This window comes from Homo sapiens, chromosome X (genome assembly GCF_000001405.40).
Source record: "Homo sapiens chromosome X, GRCh38.p14 Primary Assembly".
NCBI classification, from domain to species: domain Eukaryota; kingdom Metazoa; phylum Chordata; class Mammalia; order Primates; family Hominidae; genus Homo; species Homo sapiens.
In genome coordinates, this window is record NC_000023.11 from 155,764,704 (window position 1) to 155,782,721 (window position 18,018).

General features: G+C 40.4%; 1 protein-coding gene across 5 annotated transcripts in view, besides 5 other annotated features; it reads left to right on the plus strand.

Annotated features, from left to right (window-relative positions):
- Positions 1–17,756, plus strand: part of SPRY3 (sprouty RTK signaling antagonist 3) — a 169,874-nt gene extending 152,118 nt beyond the window's left edge. For 3 of the 5 annotated variants that reach the window (NM_001394353.1, NM_001394354.1, NM_001304990.2), the window contains 2 exons: positions 3,259–3,433; positions 9,063–17,756. In NM_001394353.1, the coding sequence (NP_001381282.1) occupies positions 9,169–10,035 (867 nt within the window). In that variant the 5' untranslated portion in view covers positions 3,259–3,433; positions 9,063–9,168 and the 3' untranslated portion in view covers positions 10,036–17,756. Of the gene's footprint in view, positions 1–3,092; positions 3,434–4,722; positions 5,160–9,062 lie in introns of those variants that run through there. The other 2 variants (NM_001394355.1, NM_005840.4) reach the window with 2 other exon arrangements.
- Positions 155–4,957: a meiotic recombination region, noted in NCBI's record as "meiotic double-strand break mapped by DNA meiotic recombinase 1 chromatin immunoprecipitation followed by single-stranded DNA enrichment and sequencing in the germ cells of some male individuals with the PRDM9 A/A, PRDM9 A/B and PRDM9 A/C genotypes". NCBI's record gives the evidence for it as "EXISTENCE:chromatin immunoprecipitation-seq evidence [ECO:0000229][PMID:25395542]".
- Positions 1,805–3,604: a meiotic recombination region, noted in NCBI's record as "crossovers mapped in sperm cells of males of European and African ancestries; recombination frequencies vary with PRDM9 genotypes, with higher recombination frequencies in individuals with the PRDM9 A allele, and little recombination in some individuals with other PRDM9 alleles". NCBI's record gives the evidence for it as "EXISTENCE:DNA detection assay evidence [ECO:0005519][PMID:20818382]".
- Positions 2,521–2,533: a nucleotide motif, noted in NCBI's record as "nucleotide motif; similarity to the predicted 13-mer PRDM9 A binding motif (LD hotspot motif), CCNCCNTNNCCNC, found near the center of the hotspot". NCBI's record gives the evidence for it as "COORDINATES:motif similarity evidence [ECO:0000028][PMID:20818382, PMID:19165926]".
- Positions 2,864–2,876: a nucleotide motif, noted in NCBI's record as "nucleotide motif; similarity to the predicted 13-mer PRDM9 A binding motif (LD hotspot motif), CCNCCNTNNCCNC, found near the center of the hotspot". NCBI's record gives the evidence for it as "COORDINATES:motif similarity evidence [ECO:0000028][PMID:20818382, PMID:19165926]".
- Positions 2,959–2,971: a nucleotide motif, noted in NCBI's record as "nucleotide motif; similarity to the predicted 13-mer PRDM9 A binding motif (LD hotspot motif), CCNCCNTNNCCNC, found near the center of the hotspot". NCBI's record gives the evidence for it as "COORDINATES:motif similarity evidence [ECO:0000028][PMID:20818382, PMID:19165926]".
- Positions 17,757–18,018: the final 262 nt, after the last annotated feature.

Below are 18,018 nucleotides of genomic sequence, written 5' to 3' on the forward strand. Positions count from 1 at the left end.
CAAAGGGGGCCTCTGGAGCACAAAGAAGAGGACAAATCTGTTCTAAACTGGTCTTTTGAAGAGAGAGGTGATTAGGCAAGGCTTTTCCTGCAATAAGTGACTGCTAGGCCTATAGGATATTCAGGAATATTATCTTAGTCTTATTGGGCTACTGTAACAAAATACCTTTGACTAGATAACTTATAAACAACAGAAATGTATTTCTTACAGTTGTAAAGGCTGGGAAGTCCAAGATTAAGGTGTTACCAGTGTCTGGGGGAGTCCGACTTCCTCATAGACAGCACCTTCTCACTGTGTCCTCACATGATGGAAGTGCCAAGGCAGGTCTTCGGGGCCTCTTTTATAAGAGAACTAATCCCATTCATGAGGGCTCCACATACATTATTTAGTCACCTCCCAAAGGCCCCACCTCCTAATATTATCATATTGGTAGATAGGTTTCAACACAGGAATTTTGGAGAGACACAAATATTCAGACCATAGCATTTACCAAATAATTTTTAAAAGTTAGAACAAAAATCCCTGAAGGGATTTGCAGATGGTTGGATACTGTGGTATAGTGGTTAAAAGTACAAGCTCTGGAGTGAGACAGCCTGAGTCAGCCTGAGTTAAAATCCTAGATCTGCAAACTGCCAACTGTGTAACCTTGGACAAGTTACTTAAGGTCTTTGGACCTTGGTTTCTCATTTTAAAAATCAGTATAATTCATTAATATGCCTCATAGGTTTGTTGTGAGAATTAAATAGGTTAAAACATGTAAAATTCATAGAACAGCACCTGGCAAAGAGTAAACATGTCACCCTGCCCACTTGAATGTCAATTCCAGGAGCGCAGGAAATCTAGCTGTTGAATTACTAGCCTTTAGTGAGTGGCCCATAGCAGGCATGGTTGAATGAATGAATGATCATCAATTTAACTTTTTTTGTCATGGGTATCATCCTAAGAGGTAAGAAGGCTGAATAATCCCAATTGTTTTCATTGTTGCCTTAATATAGGCCCACAGAGTAAAGGAGGGAAAGGAATTAGGCAACCCAGCTATTCAACTTTAAAGCTAGACTTTAAAACATAAAAGGGCTTCAAATTGAAATCATCTCTTGCCTCTCCTATGGGTTACATTAGAGCAAGAACAATTTCTTAACATTCATAGCTACTATTCATGGGGTGCTTGCTATATGCCAGAGAGGTTAATTGAATTGCCTCAAGGGAGGTAGCTCCCAGGTTGAGGAGCAAAAATTTGAACCCTGATCTATTTGACCTGAATCTAGTTAGTACAGTGCTTGACACATAGTTAATGTGCAATAAATATTTGTTGAATAAGTGTAGATGAACCTACAGTGAATCACAAAAGAGAATTTACAGGAGATTTCCTGACTAGAAATTCCAAATGGGAAAAGAGAGCTGGATTTGTTTAGAAATTACACACACGCACATACACAGGCATGCACGCATGCACACACACATATACCTACATACATGTCATCACAACTGTTTGGAGCACCTTAAACACATACATACACACAGGAGCATGCAGACCCACACAGCCGTACTTTTTTAAATCTCATTATTTCTTTTGTCTTCTTAACACATCTGAGAGAGGGTAAATGACAGAGTGTCAGAGGTAGAAAGGACGTTAGCAATTACCTAATCAGATCCCCTCATGTTAATGTAAAAATTGACACTCTAGAGGGGAAGAAAATTGCTAAGGTCACACAAGGAGTCAGAATAAGATTAAGAGTCTCAGTTTCCTGACTCACACAGTTTGTTTTACTCTGAACTGTCACCATTTACCATCTCAATTTTATAGATGAGGTAACCAAAGCATCCTAAGAATGCTGATGGCCAAGCTCCTGCCACTTGTCCATTGAAATAGGACTTGAAATCAGATCTCCTTTATTTTAAATATAAAGCTGCTGTCATCCAAGTTCTTCTGTCTGGATGCCCAGAAGAAAGATCCTTTCCTATTGAATTAAATAGTGGACTGAGGGTAATTTACAGAAAGCTTTGTCCTTGGCTTTAAGAGAAAATGTCCAAGGCTGCTTTATTTTCAGTCCCAGGGAGGCTGCATGAAGGCAGGAATCCACAACACCTAGCACAAAGGAAGGTACTCAATAAATATTTGTTGTTGAATGCATGCCATGCTAAAGGGAAAGTAGGTTGGGTAATGGTTTCCCAGTGGCAATGGATGGGCTGAAAAAGTGGGAACACATGAGGAAGAGGTGGGAGGAACCCTTAAACAAAGGAGAAGCTCTTTCTCTTCATCTTATTGAAGCTGCAATCACTCGGCACAGGCTGAGTAGATTGGTAGAAATGTGATTGGCAAAGATATTTAAATGAGACCTCCTTAAAATTGTTACTCTCCACCCCACCCCCACGTTCCTTTAAATTTTGTTTCAGTCATTACCCAGGGACCGGATACAGAGATTCCTATGGGGAGTTTTAATGGGTCGATTCAATTTCATCTGGATGACGCCACTTCGCCAAGCATTAAGAGCTACAGCTCCGGGAAAGCCAACGACACGCGGGGGGAGGGGGGAGAGAAAGAAATTATAACGAGGAGCAATAAATCCCTTCTTTCCCATCCTCCCCTATAACCCATTCACAAGACCTCCAGAAATCATCTACATTCACAAAACGGCCAGCTAGCTAAGCTGAACACACTGCCAACTCACTCCCTGCCCCCACTGCAGATTATATACCAACACACCCTGAGCCATATAAATAATCACACACTGGCGGTATCTATTGCTCCGTTGAGATACCCTGTGTCTACAACTGCAGTTTCTGCTGCTTCGGTTCATCTGTCAGATTGGAGGAGAGGGAGACCAAGGTGGAGGCGGAGGCGGAGGCGAAAGAGGAGGGGGAGGAGGTAAAGGAGGAAGAAGGGGAGGAGGGAAAGGGGAGGGCAAGAGGAGGGGAAGGAAAATACTGGAGGGGGAGGGGGAAGAGAAACAGGAGGAGGAGGAGAAGGGGGAGGAGAAAGAGGCGGAGGAGGAGGAGAAAGAAGAGGAGGAGGAGAAAGAGGAGGAGGAGGAGAGAGAGGAGGAGGAGGAGAGAGAGGAGGAGGAGGAGAAAGAGGAGGAGGTGAACAACTTACCCTGCTGAGCTTTCTTTGGGAAATACGTCCATCAAGATTTAGATCTGCCTGTAAAATCTATACAAAGTATATGCCACTACAGGTTTGACTCGCCCCCTCCCCCGTTTTTTTGTTTTGTTTTGTTTTGTTTTGTTTTGTTTTGTGTTTTCTCTGCTGTGTCAAAGAACAAGACAGAACTATCTCTGTTTCTGGCTCCACTGCCTGCCAGTGAAGGAGTTTTCATTCAGACTTTCCGAAGAGAGGTGGAGAAACCTAAAGACTGAGGAGAAGAGATCCTTTGAGCCAGATGGGGCATTAGTTCTTCTGCTTTTCTCAGCATGGATAAACCATTTCCTCAAGGTAAGCCATAGAAATTAGCTCTTTAAAAACCCAGAATTCTTTCTATGCAATGCACAGATTGCCATTCATTCCAGCCATCCTGTGCTGTCTCTGTGTGCGTGTGTGTGCCGCGCGCTTGGGCGCGCGCGCGCAAGCGCATGGATAAAATAAAATGAAAACCCTTTAAATTATATTTAAATAAATCGGCTCTCGCAGAAAACTATCCACATTGGAAATGTGTAAATCCAAATAGGACTTCAAAATAATATTTTTCTAGGCGAATGTCAATTTAATTTCTAGCCTGTTAACCTTTAAATGCATTTTGGTACTTGCCTAAACCCCTCAAAACGCAGCCTAACCACCCAAGCTGAGGACAGAGAGAGAGCCCGTGCTAAGGCCAGTCTGGCTGCCCAGCGGGCATCCTGTCAGCATGGGGCTAGCCTCTGCTATTGGCTCACAAGTCTGGGCTGTGCATCGTTCAGATTTCATCACATCACCTTGCCCTGGGTAGACATGGCGCAAGCTGACACGGCAGAACCCCCCACTTACATTGAGTCAGAGCAGTGATTTAGAAATCTCTGTATCCGTGCCTGGGTACGTGTGCACATGTCTCTGTGTGGCATATGGAGATTCTGTCAAAAGTGAGAACCTGTGAGCACGTCTAGTTAGCCAATAGGCATTTGATAAGACCTAGGGCAATGGTTTACTGCACACTCACTTCCATGAAGCTAATTATAATTATCATTCTTCACCTCTGCATGCTGCAAACCAAGTTGGATGAACAGAAAACAGACCTTGAACTCTTAAGCAGAAAATCTATTTTGAAATGGAAACTATTGTTGCTTTTCTGGTAATATTAAAACCTCACTGTATCATGATGTGTTATCACATGAATTTGGATATACCAGGTGTTAAATCATGTTCCCAAAAAGTCGGCTGCATTCATAAATACAAATAAGGCACAGGCTAGCCGTTTATCCACAATGAAATATTGGTCTTGCTCTCCTTGCCTCTAAACAAACATATACAAAGACATTACTATAACATTCTATATATTTGTCTCTTTGTGTTCTGTTTTTAGGTCTCTCTAGCTGTGAAACAGTCTAGATAGTGATCTGAGTGACTTAGATTTGAAGATATTTATTAAGAGTTGAGGAGTTGAGTAGTGAGGAAGTAAAGAACCTAAAGGAAAGGACACTAATTCTTCCTTAAAGACTTTTGAAACAGAGAAATGCAACCAACAAACCCAACATAAAATTTAGAGCATCTGGACAAGAAAGGCCTTTAAAAACCCTCCTTTTATTTTGCAGATGAAGAAACTGAGGACCAGAACGGAGGTCATTTGCCTACAGCCACGCAGCAAAGTAGAGCTACCATTAGGACTAGACCTTAAATTTCTTGTGTCATATAAAAGGATTTGAGTTTTTAAAAAAAAAATCCTACTTCTTAGATGAACAACCAGCTTCTTCTTACAATTTTCCTCAGGATTAGATGTGAATTCATTTGGTATTACAAATTTTCCCTGTATCATTCATCACTAAAAGACCTATATCTTTTAACATTCAAGGTCTTAAAACTGCAAGACTCCCTGGTTTGAAATAAACTGCTATGAGTCTTAATGAAACCATTAAAGTAATGAATAGGACTAGGGTAGCAAAGTGACAAGTTAAGAGTTAAATGTGGTGAGAACCTGGCAGCTCCAACAAGATGTATGCGGTAGGAGGGAGGCCCAGTCAGTGGCAGAGAGGTTAGTAATGTAAACTATATACAACTTGGTATTTGTAAGGGGGGAGTGCTTTGATAGAGATGCAAATGCTTTTTGCACAGAGAGGGATTTTTAGAGAGCAGACTTTGGAACAGTAGAACTAAGAAAACATATAAAGCCAAAGCAGAAATTCCCCCTATGTTTGCTTTCAGTTATTCTGAGTAGGAGTGTATATAACAGCAGAGCATAGAAAAAAGCAACACACCTAAGAGCCGTTACACAGTAGGGTACAAAACAGCATTGAACCCGTGAGACTGGGAGAAAACAAGAGCCAGGATCTCCTCTTCCTCACTCCACTCTTCTTTGAAATCAACGTTGAGTCATACTGTATCGGAAAGGATTTACCATAGAAATCAGAACTGTCTTGCGGTGTTAGCATAGAAGGGCTTTAGATAGGAAAGTTTTCAACTTTATTCTCAACATGGCAGATTTTAGGTTCCAGGGAGAAAATACATTTTCTTTCATTAACAAACATTAGCATTTCTTGAATGGGCTTAGCTTTCTAGTCCCTAAATTGGCATAAGAAAAGAAATTTTTTTCAGGTTGAACATGGCAAATTCAGGGCTACAGAAAAACTGTTTAGAAAGCTATGAGCACCTGGCCAGAGAGACTGTGATGGGAGTGGGTTTACAATGCATCATTCATTACTGCAGAGGCACTACGTGACAAAAATCACTAGATCCCATCAATGTGCAGCCAAGACCTGTAATCACCTTTGCTCTTATTTAATAATATGTGATGTGTACATTCTCTCTCTCTCTCTCTCTCTCTCTCTCATTTGATAGACTATGGAATTGGCCAACTGCACAGTTTCTTAACTGTTGCTGCTCACAATGAATGGCTCTTTAGTGGGTGGATTTCTGAATCATAAACATTCACGTAGTGGTACTTTTTCATCTAGCCTATGTGCTACAGCAGTGTCTTGCCTGTTCCTTTCTCAACATATTTTTCCCTCTTACCTTCCTGTACAGTATCTATTTCAGTTCATCCTGTTAGCCAGATCAGATTCAGCATGTCCAGAATGGCAAACAATTTATTGTCATTCAATCCTTAAATCCTACTCAACACTCTGATTTTATTCAGGTCCTACTGTCCACTTACTGCAGGTCTCCCACATTAGATCCCAGAGTCCATTTGAATAAAAGATTCTACAGAGCAGGAAGAAACCTTCTAAGTTCATCCTGTCAGTTCCCTTACTTGTAGGCAAGACAGTGCATCATTATTTCAGACTGAAATAATGCCCACAGCTTCTTTTAATCATCCAACCAAGCATCTCAATTTATCAGTCTTGCAGAAATCGAATCAATATTGAAATACAGCTTTTCAACCTAAACACCATGTACCCTTCTGCTCCCCAGACAGGATCCCCTTTGAACATAATTCTCATTATTGTTTCTGAGTCATTTATATTATGACCTAGATTCCTCCCAGATTAGCTTTCAACCTTCTGGGCATGTCCCTGAGGTTCCTAGTGACATCCCTAGAATCCTGTCTTTGGAATCTCACCTGTTTATCTCCTGTAACTTTGAGACCTTGTATAACTTCCTTTAAATTATTGCTTCCTGGAATTTTCAATATGTTTTGAATCTAGTTTCCTTTGGGAAATCAATTAGTCTAAACTGCATTCAGCATGTATATTATTGTTCTTACAGTACAAAGGACTTGCAGGGCTCCACATATTCTTTAGCCGATCAATGGGACATAAATCTATTTCTCATAAATTTGTCAAAAGACTCCTCCCAGTCCCAAGTTCCTACATCTACATACCCTCCAAGCCAAATGAACAATGTGTCCTTTTTTATTTGGGTGTCTACATGAAAGCTGCCAGTTCCTTTCCAATGCTGAGACTATGAATCTATAAAGATACAGCAAAGGTAGAGGTGGCAGGTTGCATGAGCCTTTGAGTGCAAGTAAATAAAGGAAACATACATTTTGCTTTTGAATGCCCCAATAAGTAAGGGCACATTGCCCACCTTACCCTCAAGGACTTGAAGATGTAGAAGATACGGATGAAAAGAAATATTTTATAAAATTGTGTAGTTATAGAAAGAAATACAGACCATAATGGCTCAAGGTCCTTCAAGATCACCTTGTTCACATCACATATCCTTCAGTTTCACATAGATAGTGAAACTGAGGCCCAAAGAAAGCAAGTGATTTGACAAAAGTGACATAAATATTTGAGTCTGAGAGTTTCCATAATATTTATTTGCATTCTCTTATGCTGCATTTATTTAACACCAAAACAACTAGTTAAAAAGTGAAATTTTTGTCAGACTGGTTCTTTGATGTGATATGCCAAAAAGGTTATTTGTAACCAAATTAAATCTTTTCAAGTAATGAGCAGATGTAAATTCAGCTTATCAGGTTTGCATGAGGATATAGCCTCAAAAGTCAACTGAGTCTGGTCATATTATTAGCCACTGAGTCCTTTATGAACTGCATCCTTGTTTTTCCTGTTATTGAGCTTTGGGCCCATTTCAGTGTCATGTTTGCTTGCTTATGGAAACGTAATCAAGCACCATCCTCTCTCACTTGTTCATTTCTATTACTCATTCAAGCTATCCATCACATACAGTAGTGTGAGTAATTGATCTATTTTGAGAAGGCCTGAAATCTGATGGATCTCAAATATATACTTTATTCATGCTAGTGTTTTGCTACGTCCTAATGCCTCCAGGATGTTTCCTGGATTTGTGTTTAGGTTTCTTCATGTACACCTTTTTGACTCTTCAGTCTTCTAGGTGGTGCAATACAGCAGTCTGCTATTTGTACAGTATTTTCCCCATGGTCATCATTATCAGTTCTAGGCTTGGTAAAATCCTTCAGGGAATGACCAACCACCTCTTCCTGACTGTAGTACAATGGAAATGCAAGCATATGCTTTCTAGACATTCAACTTAGCTTAAATATGGTATAAGAATATCACTTTCCTTTAAGAAAGTCAGTTTATTGTGTAAGGTAGTGATAGAGAAAAGAAGTCCAAGCAGATTCTGCTTGGTAAGTCTCATCAATATGGAGGTGACTTAGGATAGTAATAGGTATAATTACAGATGATTTTTGAAATAATTCAGGACTTGTCTTCTATAGTTCCTTGATCCCCAGTATTACTCCCACGTGTACAAAAGTTTGATTCTGGAGCCTCCATTCCATTTAAAAAGAATCACTTCCTTAGTAAGTTAAAGCAGCCAGTAAGGTGAAGAGAACTGCAAGATGATTAGTCTTGGTTTCCTTATACTCTTGGGAAGCCTTTTTTTTTCCTACTACACTGCAGACAGCTTAATTCCTACCTTCTGTGTGTTTGCTGTATCTCTGCCTTTATTGCATTCTCCTTGCTTGCCTGTATTCACTGAATCAAGTAATGTCCTTTCTTATCTGTTTATTTCTGCTTATCACAAATTCACACTGAAAAGATAATTTTGATTGGATATATATATATATATATATATATATATATATATGAGCAACTTCTCATGGGAGACTTTTGAGGCTTTCTCTTTTCCTTCAGCATTGCTTCAGAAAATAGCCTTTGCAGTTAATATTAGGTTCCATTTGTATTAGAATTCTGATGCCCAAGGCTTGGATGTCTCTGCTAGCAAATACCTGAATGAGCTAGCTGCTCCTGTGAAACTAGGCATTTGATGGAATACAAAAAGAATCAACTATCTGATATTTGTTCCCAAACTTCTTTATAGTCTGGAGGGGATGATGAGATTTGCCTATAAAGAAGTAAGTGAGGTTAATTACAGAATAAAGGTGTAGCATGAAGATTACTGTAAAGTAATTGAAGGTAGTGGTGGTGATAGGGCCTGAGCTTTGTTGGTTTCTTGCAAAGTACTTATGCCTGTGTGTTCTCATTTACTGTTTTTATGCCTTCTCTCCTAGGATTTTCTCATGTGCCCTGAAATCCATGTAACTACAAGGGCTCCTCTTTATCACCATAAGTGCCACCCTGACTTAAAACCACTCAGAGCTAAAAAATCAAGGCAAAATGGATGCTGCGGTGACAGATGATTTTCAACAAATTCTGCCTATTGAACAGCTGCGCTCTACTCATGCTAGCAATGACTACGTGGAACGGCCTCCAGCCCCCTGTAAACAGGCCCTCTCCAGCCCTTCCCTTATTGTGCAAACCCACAAGTCTGATTGGTCTCTGGCTACCATGCCTACTTCTCTCCCCCGCAGTCTCAGCCAGTGCCATCAACTGCAGCCCTTGCCTCAGCATCTGAGCCAATCTAGCATTGCCAGCTCAATGTCCCATAGCACCACTGCCTCTGATCAAAGGCTCTTGGCCAGCATTACACCCTCACCTTCAGGCCAATCCATCATCCGAACCCAACCTGGAGCAGGGGTCCACCCAAAGGCTGATGGTGCTCTGAAGGGAGAAGCTGAGCAATCTGCAGGGCACCCTAGTGAGCACCTCTTCATCTGTGAGGAATGTGGGCGCTGCAAGTGCGTCCCCTGCACAGCAGCTCGCCCTCTCCCCTCCTGCTGGCTGTGCAACCAGCGCTGCCTTTGCTCTGCTGAGAGCCTCCTCGATTATGGCACTTGTCTCTGCTGTGTCAAGGGCCTCTTCTACCACTGCTCCACTGATGATGAAGACAACTGTGCTGATGAGCCCTGCTCTTGTGGGCCTAGTTCTTGCTTTGTCCGCTGGGCAGCCATGAGCCTCATCTCCCTCTTCCTACCCTGCCTGTGCTGCTACCTGCCTACCCGTGGATGCCTCCATCTGTGCCAACAGGGCTATGATAGCCTCCGGCGACCAGGCTGCCGCTGCAAGAGGCACACCAACACTGTGTGCAGAAAGATCTCTTCTGGTAGTGCACCCTTCCCCAAGGCCCAGGAAAAGTCTGTATGACCTTCCAACAAGGTGGATCCAGAGCTTTTCTCCTTCGAGTCCCCAACAGCAAAGCATAGGCCTCATCTTTGGAGAGGGGGAGGAGTGATAAACTAGCCAAAGTTAGGGCCTCTCTTTTGTTCCTGCAGTGTCAGGGGAATGACCAAGTACATCCTGGTGCAGGATGCCTTGTTCTTTCTCACAGTATCTATCCCACTCCTCTTCAGTCTTTACACCCTGCCAGCTCAGCCTTTATGGTTGTCATGGCAAATTCAGGTGATATATGGGTATGAGGTTTGAACACTGAGGACTGACAGGGCCAGCAACGTGGAGGTTTAGGGGCTCCCCAATGTAATACCTCTCGATGCAGGCTCTGATCGTCACTCTGTTTTCTGCTGTGCCTTTGGAAGCTTTCTTCTAAGATGGTTTTCACAGGTACATGTGGAACAGCGTTCAACCTTCCAGGGAATACGACCCCTTCTCCCTGTTACTGCCCTTCTCTTCTTTATTCCTCTCTCCTCTTTCATTATTCTGTTCTGTATTCCTTTCCCCTTCATTCTCACCCTGTCTGCTTTTACTTTTTCTCTTTCTTCCTCCCTTTCTCCTTCTCCCCTCCTTCTTTTTCAGACTGATCCTTTCTCTGCCTGTATTTCTATCTCATTTGATCTATATTTGTCTCTCTCTACCTGTCCCTTTTTCTCTAACATGTCCAAAAGTGCTGTTTTTCCATAGATGTTTCCTTAGATGCCAAACTTTGCTATGCTATACTATTTACTAATTTTTATTAAGGGAAATGGATTACTGTAATGAACTGATCACTAGCAATAGTGTGTATCCCGATGTGTGTGTGTGCTCACAACCACTCTCACCTGTTCGTGAGCGCATGAGGCGAAGTTATCTTATATTTCCAGGTTTAACTAGTTGGAGTTTTTCTCCCTTTCTCAATAATCAACTTATAGTGCTGACAGATTCCACTAGCATGCTGAGTAGGATAGTAAATCAGGATGCTCATAACTTTGTATGTCTGACCCAAGTGCCAAAGGCAGACGTGCTTTATAGCTAAATGAACAAAGCAAAGGATACAGAGGTATGTTCTCTCTTAGAAGCTAACTTCCCTGAGACTGCATGGCTCAGGCGTTAATAATGGACATAAAAAGTCATAAAACGTTAGAGCTGGAAGGAATCTTAACTATTAATCTAGTTCAATGCCCTTATTTTACAGATGGGAAAACTGAGGCCTGGAGGTAGGAAGGGACTTGCCCCCAAGGCCGCACACTGAGTTAACAGCAGAATTGAGACTGGAATATAGGCCTTCTGACTCCTAGTTCAGTATTCTTACCCCTGTACCACATTGAGTCATGGGACTTTTTCCTAGGGCTCTATTAACAGTGACAGAAAGCCATTCCCATTCAATTACTTTTCAGGAACCATGCCTAGTTAGTGTGGTGGTCTTTCTCCAGTGCATGGTGGGTAGCTAATTAACTATCAGGTGTTGAGGCTGCCCCCAGTGGACATCACCTTTGGCTCTGTCACCTTGTAGAAGCTCAAGTGTGGAAAAGAAAAGCTTAAAGAAGCCCTAACCAAGCTGTATCTTCGCCATTGCATCTACTCTTTGCTGCACACACTGTGCTTGCTCCTGGCTTTGTCTGCAATGGCAGCTGCCTGAGAACTTAAATTTCAGCAACAGTGAAAAACTGAGATGAAAGATGTATAATGTAGAGAACTGACTTCTCTCTTAAAAAGTACAGAGAGCCTGTGCTGTGAACCCCCTTCAATGGGAAAAAGCTGCAGTGGTGATGGCAGGCTCCTAAAGACTGCTGCTAAAAGACACAAGAATTATACAGTTTCCCTCTATAAGTGAATCCAAAATTCACTGACGAATTCAGAGATTGAGGGCACTTGCTTGAAATCAAGGTGCTCCAACTTAGTTTAAGACCTCCAGACTCTAACTTTATAGATCATCTCTTCTAGAGTGTGCATGGATGTGTGTTGCAGGGTGGAGAAGTGGGGAGAAGTGTATAGTAGTACACGGGGGGAAGAGGGGACCTCCATGTCCCTTTGTTGGATACATATTACAGAAATATGTGCCACTCACTTTTTGTTGGTTCTGAATCTTCCTGAAGTGTACTGACATTTGGGCTGCACAGAGCCCCACACCTTCACTTACACCTCCTCTTCTAGAATTGCTTTGCTCTATTTTTGTATATATAAATATGTTATGATGATTATTAATAATGTTAATGATATTGCTGCAAATGGTGCCATATATAAGGTTAGGCTTCTTGGAACATTTATAAACCCAAACCAATACCTGTAACCTCTTATGTTGCTTTCAGATCCTTCAATTTTAAGTAACTTTTTAATCTTACAAGTCTGCTTGATTGTACTTTACACTTATCTACCCTGAAAAGCTCTGCCCAGTTCTCTGGGTCAAGCTGGATGGTGATGAGTAGCAACACACACTTCTCTGCTTCTGCCTGAAATGTGCTTAGAGCTCAGTTATCTAAGGATTCTCTGACACTAGTGCATTGTTCCTGGAGCTAAATTATTCTATGGATGTTTGCTTATTAGTTTCAGGCCCCAAAATAACACGAGCCCCTCCTCCTTGATAGCTCCTTGATATCCCAATCTTGCAGTCCTAACTCAGGCAAATTGTGCACTGCCAGAGGGGCCCTGGGTTCTGCCATATACCCAGAGGAGCCTTTCTCAGTGTGTTTCTAAATGGCCTTACACTTGGTAGAAGAAATTGAAGGGTTACTCAAATACAGTTGCAATCTGCAATCTGCTGTTGAGTCAGGGCTTTCACTTGTGTCCAAGTTGGCCTGATATGGACTGCATCTGCTTTACGTATAGATGGGTCCTGTTGGGATATGCGCATGGACGTGTGAGTGAGTGTGCGTATGTATCCCTTCTGTGATTATATATATTCACACATCTCTATATATTTTAATGTATTGCACATGTATATTTAAAATATATACGAAAGAACTCTAAATCCTGCAGGGAGGCTCTGTTTTCATTATTTTTCTACTTTGTGTCATGTCCTGTATAAACAGGAATATTTAGAGGGTGTTTCCTGCTTAGCATTTTTTTGCAGTTAAATCATCTGTTAGCCCCTAACTCTACTGCCTTCCACATATTGGTTCCTTGATACATTTCATATGATATCAGCCAAGAGTTTTCCTGTGGTTCCAGCCCATCTTCCCTAATCACAATAGCAATAATAAATATAGTGAATACTTACATAGTGCTTACTATATGCTAAGCACTATTTTTAGCATGTTATTTATATTAGCTCATTCATTCCTCACAATTCTACAACATAGGTATCATTCCAACCTCTATTTTACAGATGAGAAAACTGAAGCACAGAGAAGTTAAGTGACTTGCCAAAAGGTAACAATTGTAAATGGTAGAGCTAAGATTTGAACCCAGGGTGTCTGACTCCCAGGTCCATGCTCCAGAGTCAGATATAGAAGGCTGGAGCACAGTGTAAACCATTCTGGAGTAACAAGCCTCAAATGGTGAATAATTCTTTCCCTAACTCTGGTCCACCTGCAACCTAGGAGTTAAAATAAGTATCTTGCTATGTTAAGAGTAAAGCAATAGTTACAGGCATCATATATTAGCTGTCTTGCTCCCAAAATGGTGACATTACAAACTTTTCCACTATTCCCTTTGAAAACATGCTTGCAGCCAGTTACCATTTCTTAGCTTATGATGTAGAGCTATTAAGGGAGTATTTTCACTTGTGCCAAAGAGGGTAAGCGTTTATTAGCCTTATCTTTATTGGCCAGGGAAAACTAATTCAATTTTTTTTTGAACAAAGTATAACTGAGACTATTTTTGGAGCTTAAGATTTGTTAGAGCTGTTAACATTCAACCTTATTGATTATATTGAGAGCGCTCTTCTGATTCAAATGTAAGCAAACCACTGATGACCACTGGTCCGTATAACACATTTTACCAACAGCTCCTTCACACTGAATCCTTTAACTTGGCCAAAGGACCCTTAAAGAACATCTAGTCCAATGTCAACATTTTATAGCTGGAGAAAGGGATGCACAGAGAGGGAAAATAACCTGTCCAAAGTCACACAGTTCTGAAAATTGAGTGGAATTATGACTTTATACCAGAGTTCCTAATTTCCAGGTATCTTAGCCTCAGTTTCTTAAAAAATAGAGTTTGAAGCAAAAGCTATGTACGATCCAGGGTAGTATGAGTAAGGAAAGGGTTAATGAGGGAGGGAAGAAAGAAGAACAAATAAAAAGCATGTCACTGAGTTGGCCACAGTCTGTTCCTTGGCAAGCTAATTTCGCAATTTTTTGTGACAGACCATATAAAACTACTACATCTCCATACAGCCCACGTGGTGGAGGAAAGGAGGTGAATTCATCTGCTAGCTCTCATCTCATTAGTCAAATTCTTCCCCATGTGATATTTACCCTTCTACATTTTTGGGTAGTGCGTGATGGGCACTTAAATATGTACCTTGGCATTTCATGCTTCAGCAATAATGGGAAGGATTGTGGCTCCACTATAAACAGTAAGGCAAGTATATGAATATAGGGAGATTAAATTTAAAGTGCTACACTAGGGTGGTGCTTTTACCTTATGTCTTTAATCACATTCCTTCGAAGTAAGTTAGAGATAACCTACCACCTTTAAAGTAAATAAAGCTTTATTGTGGCTCTTAGAACTGTACTATGTTTGCCTTCCTGAACCTATTTATTCTCTAGCTTGCTTTAAAGGGCTTCTTTTTTATATGGAAATTAATTCCCTGTTCAATTAAAGGAGTAACAAACTCTCAAAATATCTTTCTTCTTAATATAAAAAGGAATTTCATATTATTGAACTCCTCAAAAAGCATGTGTAAGTCAAAATATGTATGTGAAGGCACATATGTTCTTTTAGGTTCCATGAGCATAATAGCAGGAAAACTGGTTAAGTCAATAAATGCTGGGGAAAAAATGGCTAAACAAGGTATTCTGTAACATGAAAATAAAGCAATGAGTTGGTTGGCTGGCTTTTTAAAAAATATTTCAGCCACTAATTATGACACAGACACATTATAAGAATTATGCTACCTTTTATTCACATATACAATAGTTCCCTGTGTCCTATAGATCATTGTCACATAAAGCAAAAGCATTAGTGCCCCATTTGGACCTTTGGCCGAAGGTTTGATAAGATTTTGTAGGACTGAAATTCTTGGTCCCTTTATCCTAGTTTAGGCCCATATCCTTATTTTCACTCTCAAAGATAAGATCATGACACTACCAGTGTTGCTGCTGTTAAAGGCCAGGATGGACAAGATAAGGAAAGGCATTTTGGGAATGACACTGACTAATGTTAGGAATCTTGCTGTCATTACAATCCAAGTTATATATGTTTGCTCCCATATGTATTTGTTGGCCAATCTCCTGAAAAAGAAGAAGGTAATTCTAACCCACACATTGTCATTCCCAAACTAACCTGGCAATCCTTTTGACCATACCAGGTAATAGTCATCCCTCTGATGGTAAAAGACAGAGATGTCAAGGCTCTGGAAGCTCCCAGGTCCTTGAAGAACTAACTAAACTGCTGAACACAGAAGTGGTAATGTAGGCAAGCCACAGGTATGTTCTCTTGTAACAAGATGGGGTTGACCATATGTGAACCCTGAAGAGTCATTTTGAACCTGTGTCCTAAGGCCTAGAGTACTTTAATCCTCATCTTCAAAGTCTTACCACTCTGATAACAAAAAGAAACACTACAAAGAAACTGCAAGGAAAGGGACAGTCATTTTTTTTAATATCTACCAATTATTTAGTTATTCATATATGCATTTCTTTATATAGAAAAGTATTTATATGAAGTTTCCAAAAGACTCTGATATTCAGCTTTATAGTCTTGGATAGAAAATCATGTGTCCTTGGATGGGGATTCACACACCAAGGCTTAACAGAATTAGTTTGGGGAATACTCATTTTTACTCTAGAGATTAGTTGGCTTAAACAACTTTACTCGTGAATTTTTTTCTTAATGGAGGTGAAGACCTCCCAAAGAGGAGAAGGCCCCAGGCCTTTCTTAATATATAAACCATATTGAAAGAAAGAAAGAAAAAAGTAATGGGAAGTAATAGTAAATGTGGATCCAGAAAGAAAAACAAAGGTTAAGAAAATGATGTATGTGAAAGAAAAAAAGCTCTATAATCAGTGTGTTTCTCTCACCTAAAACACCATTTACTAACTACTTGGTTCAGTTGTACCCTTTAACTCTATTTTGTCCTTGACTTATATCAACACTCTTCTTTTCCAAACTCCTATAGCTCTCCATCTGGAATGATTCTATGGGGTGGGGGGTCGGGGGAGGAGAAAGGGAGACAGCAGAAGAAAGAAAGAGAGAGAAAGATAGAGAGAGAGAGAGAGATGGGTGGAGACTTGGCCTCTCTCCTAGAGGTTCAAAGTTAGAATATGCCACTAACACTATCTGCCTTTCAAACTCCCTTCTAGGACATGCTCCATAGTACTTAGATCTTATATCAAATGACAAGGTTTCTCTCCTTCAGAGAGAAATACCAGACTGGATTTGTGGTTTCCCTGGATTGGTTTTTTCTGAGTCAAAGTGGTGTTGTAGAAATCACAGTACCCTGAGACCAATTAAGTCAGAATCTTTGGAGGTGTTGAGGAATGGATTTTTAAAGTTCCCAGATGATTATAATATGCAAACAGATTTGAGAAAATTGAATCACTTTATTCCATAAATGCAGATAGTGAGGCTAAGAGAGGGAAAGTGACTTACTCATAACCACACCGTGAGTTAGTGACCAAGTCAGGATAAGAATCCAGGTCTGCTGACTCCTAGGCCAGAATTCTTGTCTTTATACTACACTGCTTCTATCTCTACCCTATTCCCCCTCTGAGCCTTTGCTTTTCTCATCTGTAAAATGACGATAATAAAGCCTAGAGAGTGTATGAGAATCATTAAAGCAGAAGCATTTTTCTTAATGTACAAGGTTCTATACAAATGCAAGGGAATTAATGTATAACATATATGTGGGGCTAAGTCTCTAAAACAACATAATAAAAGTTGTTTTTATTTTAGTCAATCTTTTAGGTATTGTGTCTACCTGATAGCATGTAACAAGATTGAACACTTGTGTAGGTCGTATGTGCCTTTAATCTGAGGTTGGCCTCAGTGACAATCAAAATTAGCAGTTGAGGAAAAAGGTCATACATTTTTCTCTTGCCCTTGCTGGAATAGGGATCAAGAGGAATATAAAAGCAGTGGGATATCTGGATTTCTTATACTCAGTCAACCACAACATGGCCTTAGTACTGAACTAGCCCAGGGTTTCAATGGAACTCGTAGATCTCATTCCCAAGGCTGGTCCTGGTTGAAGGGAGAAGGTCAAAAAAGGACGTGTCTTCTGAAAGGCATTACCCATGGAAAGCCAAGGGGGAGGGTTGCCCACTAGGAGGAGCTTCTTTTGTAGAAGCCAGAATGGAGGAAAGGGGCTTTCTGACTTGGAGCATCTGAGGAAATAGATTATTTGAGGATCTAGTACTCCCAGAATAATCTGTAACCACAAGAAACACATTTCTTGAACTCCAGCGCCCCAGAACAGGATATCCATATCCAATCCCATCGTATCCATCCTGGATGTTATGAATTTCCAGAGAGGGCCACTTCTACCCCCCTAGGAGTCATACATCTGGCTACTTATTTGTTAAAAATAAAATTCTGTACCATTTATAAAATGGGCCTCTTATGTCTTCCTTATTTTGAAATTATAATATACATTCCTAATTCATCATTCATTTTTGCCAATGATTTTTAAGTATTTATTTGAAAGTTATTTTTAAATACAAAAATATATGTATTTAATAAAGCACTTCTTTATCTTCTTATTTGAACCATACTAAAAAATGTAAAACATGCCATGATTAAACTAGGTAATTCTATATATCACATTACAAGTAAGTTTTAAAAATCTATTTGGTAAATATATTCTCATTTCAT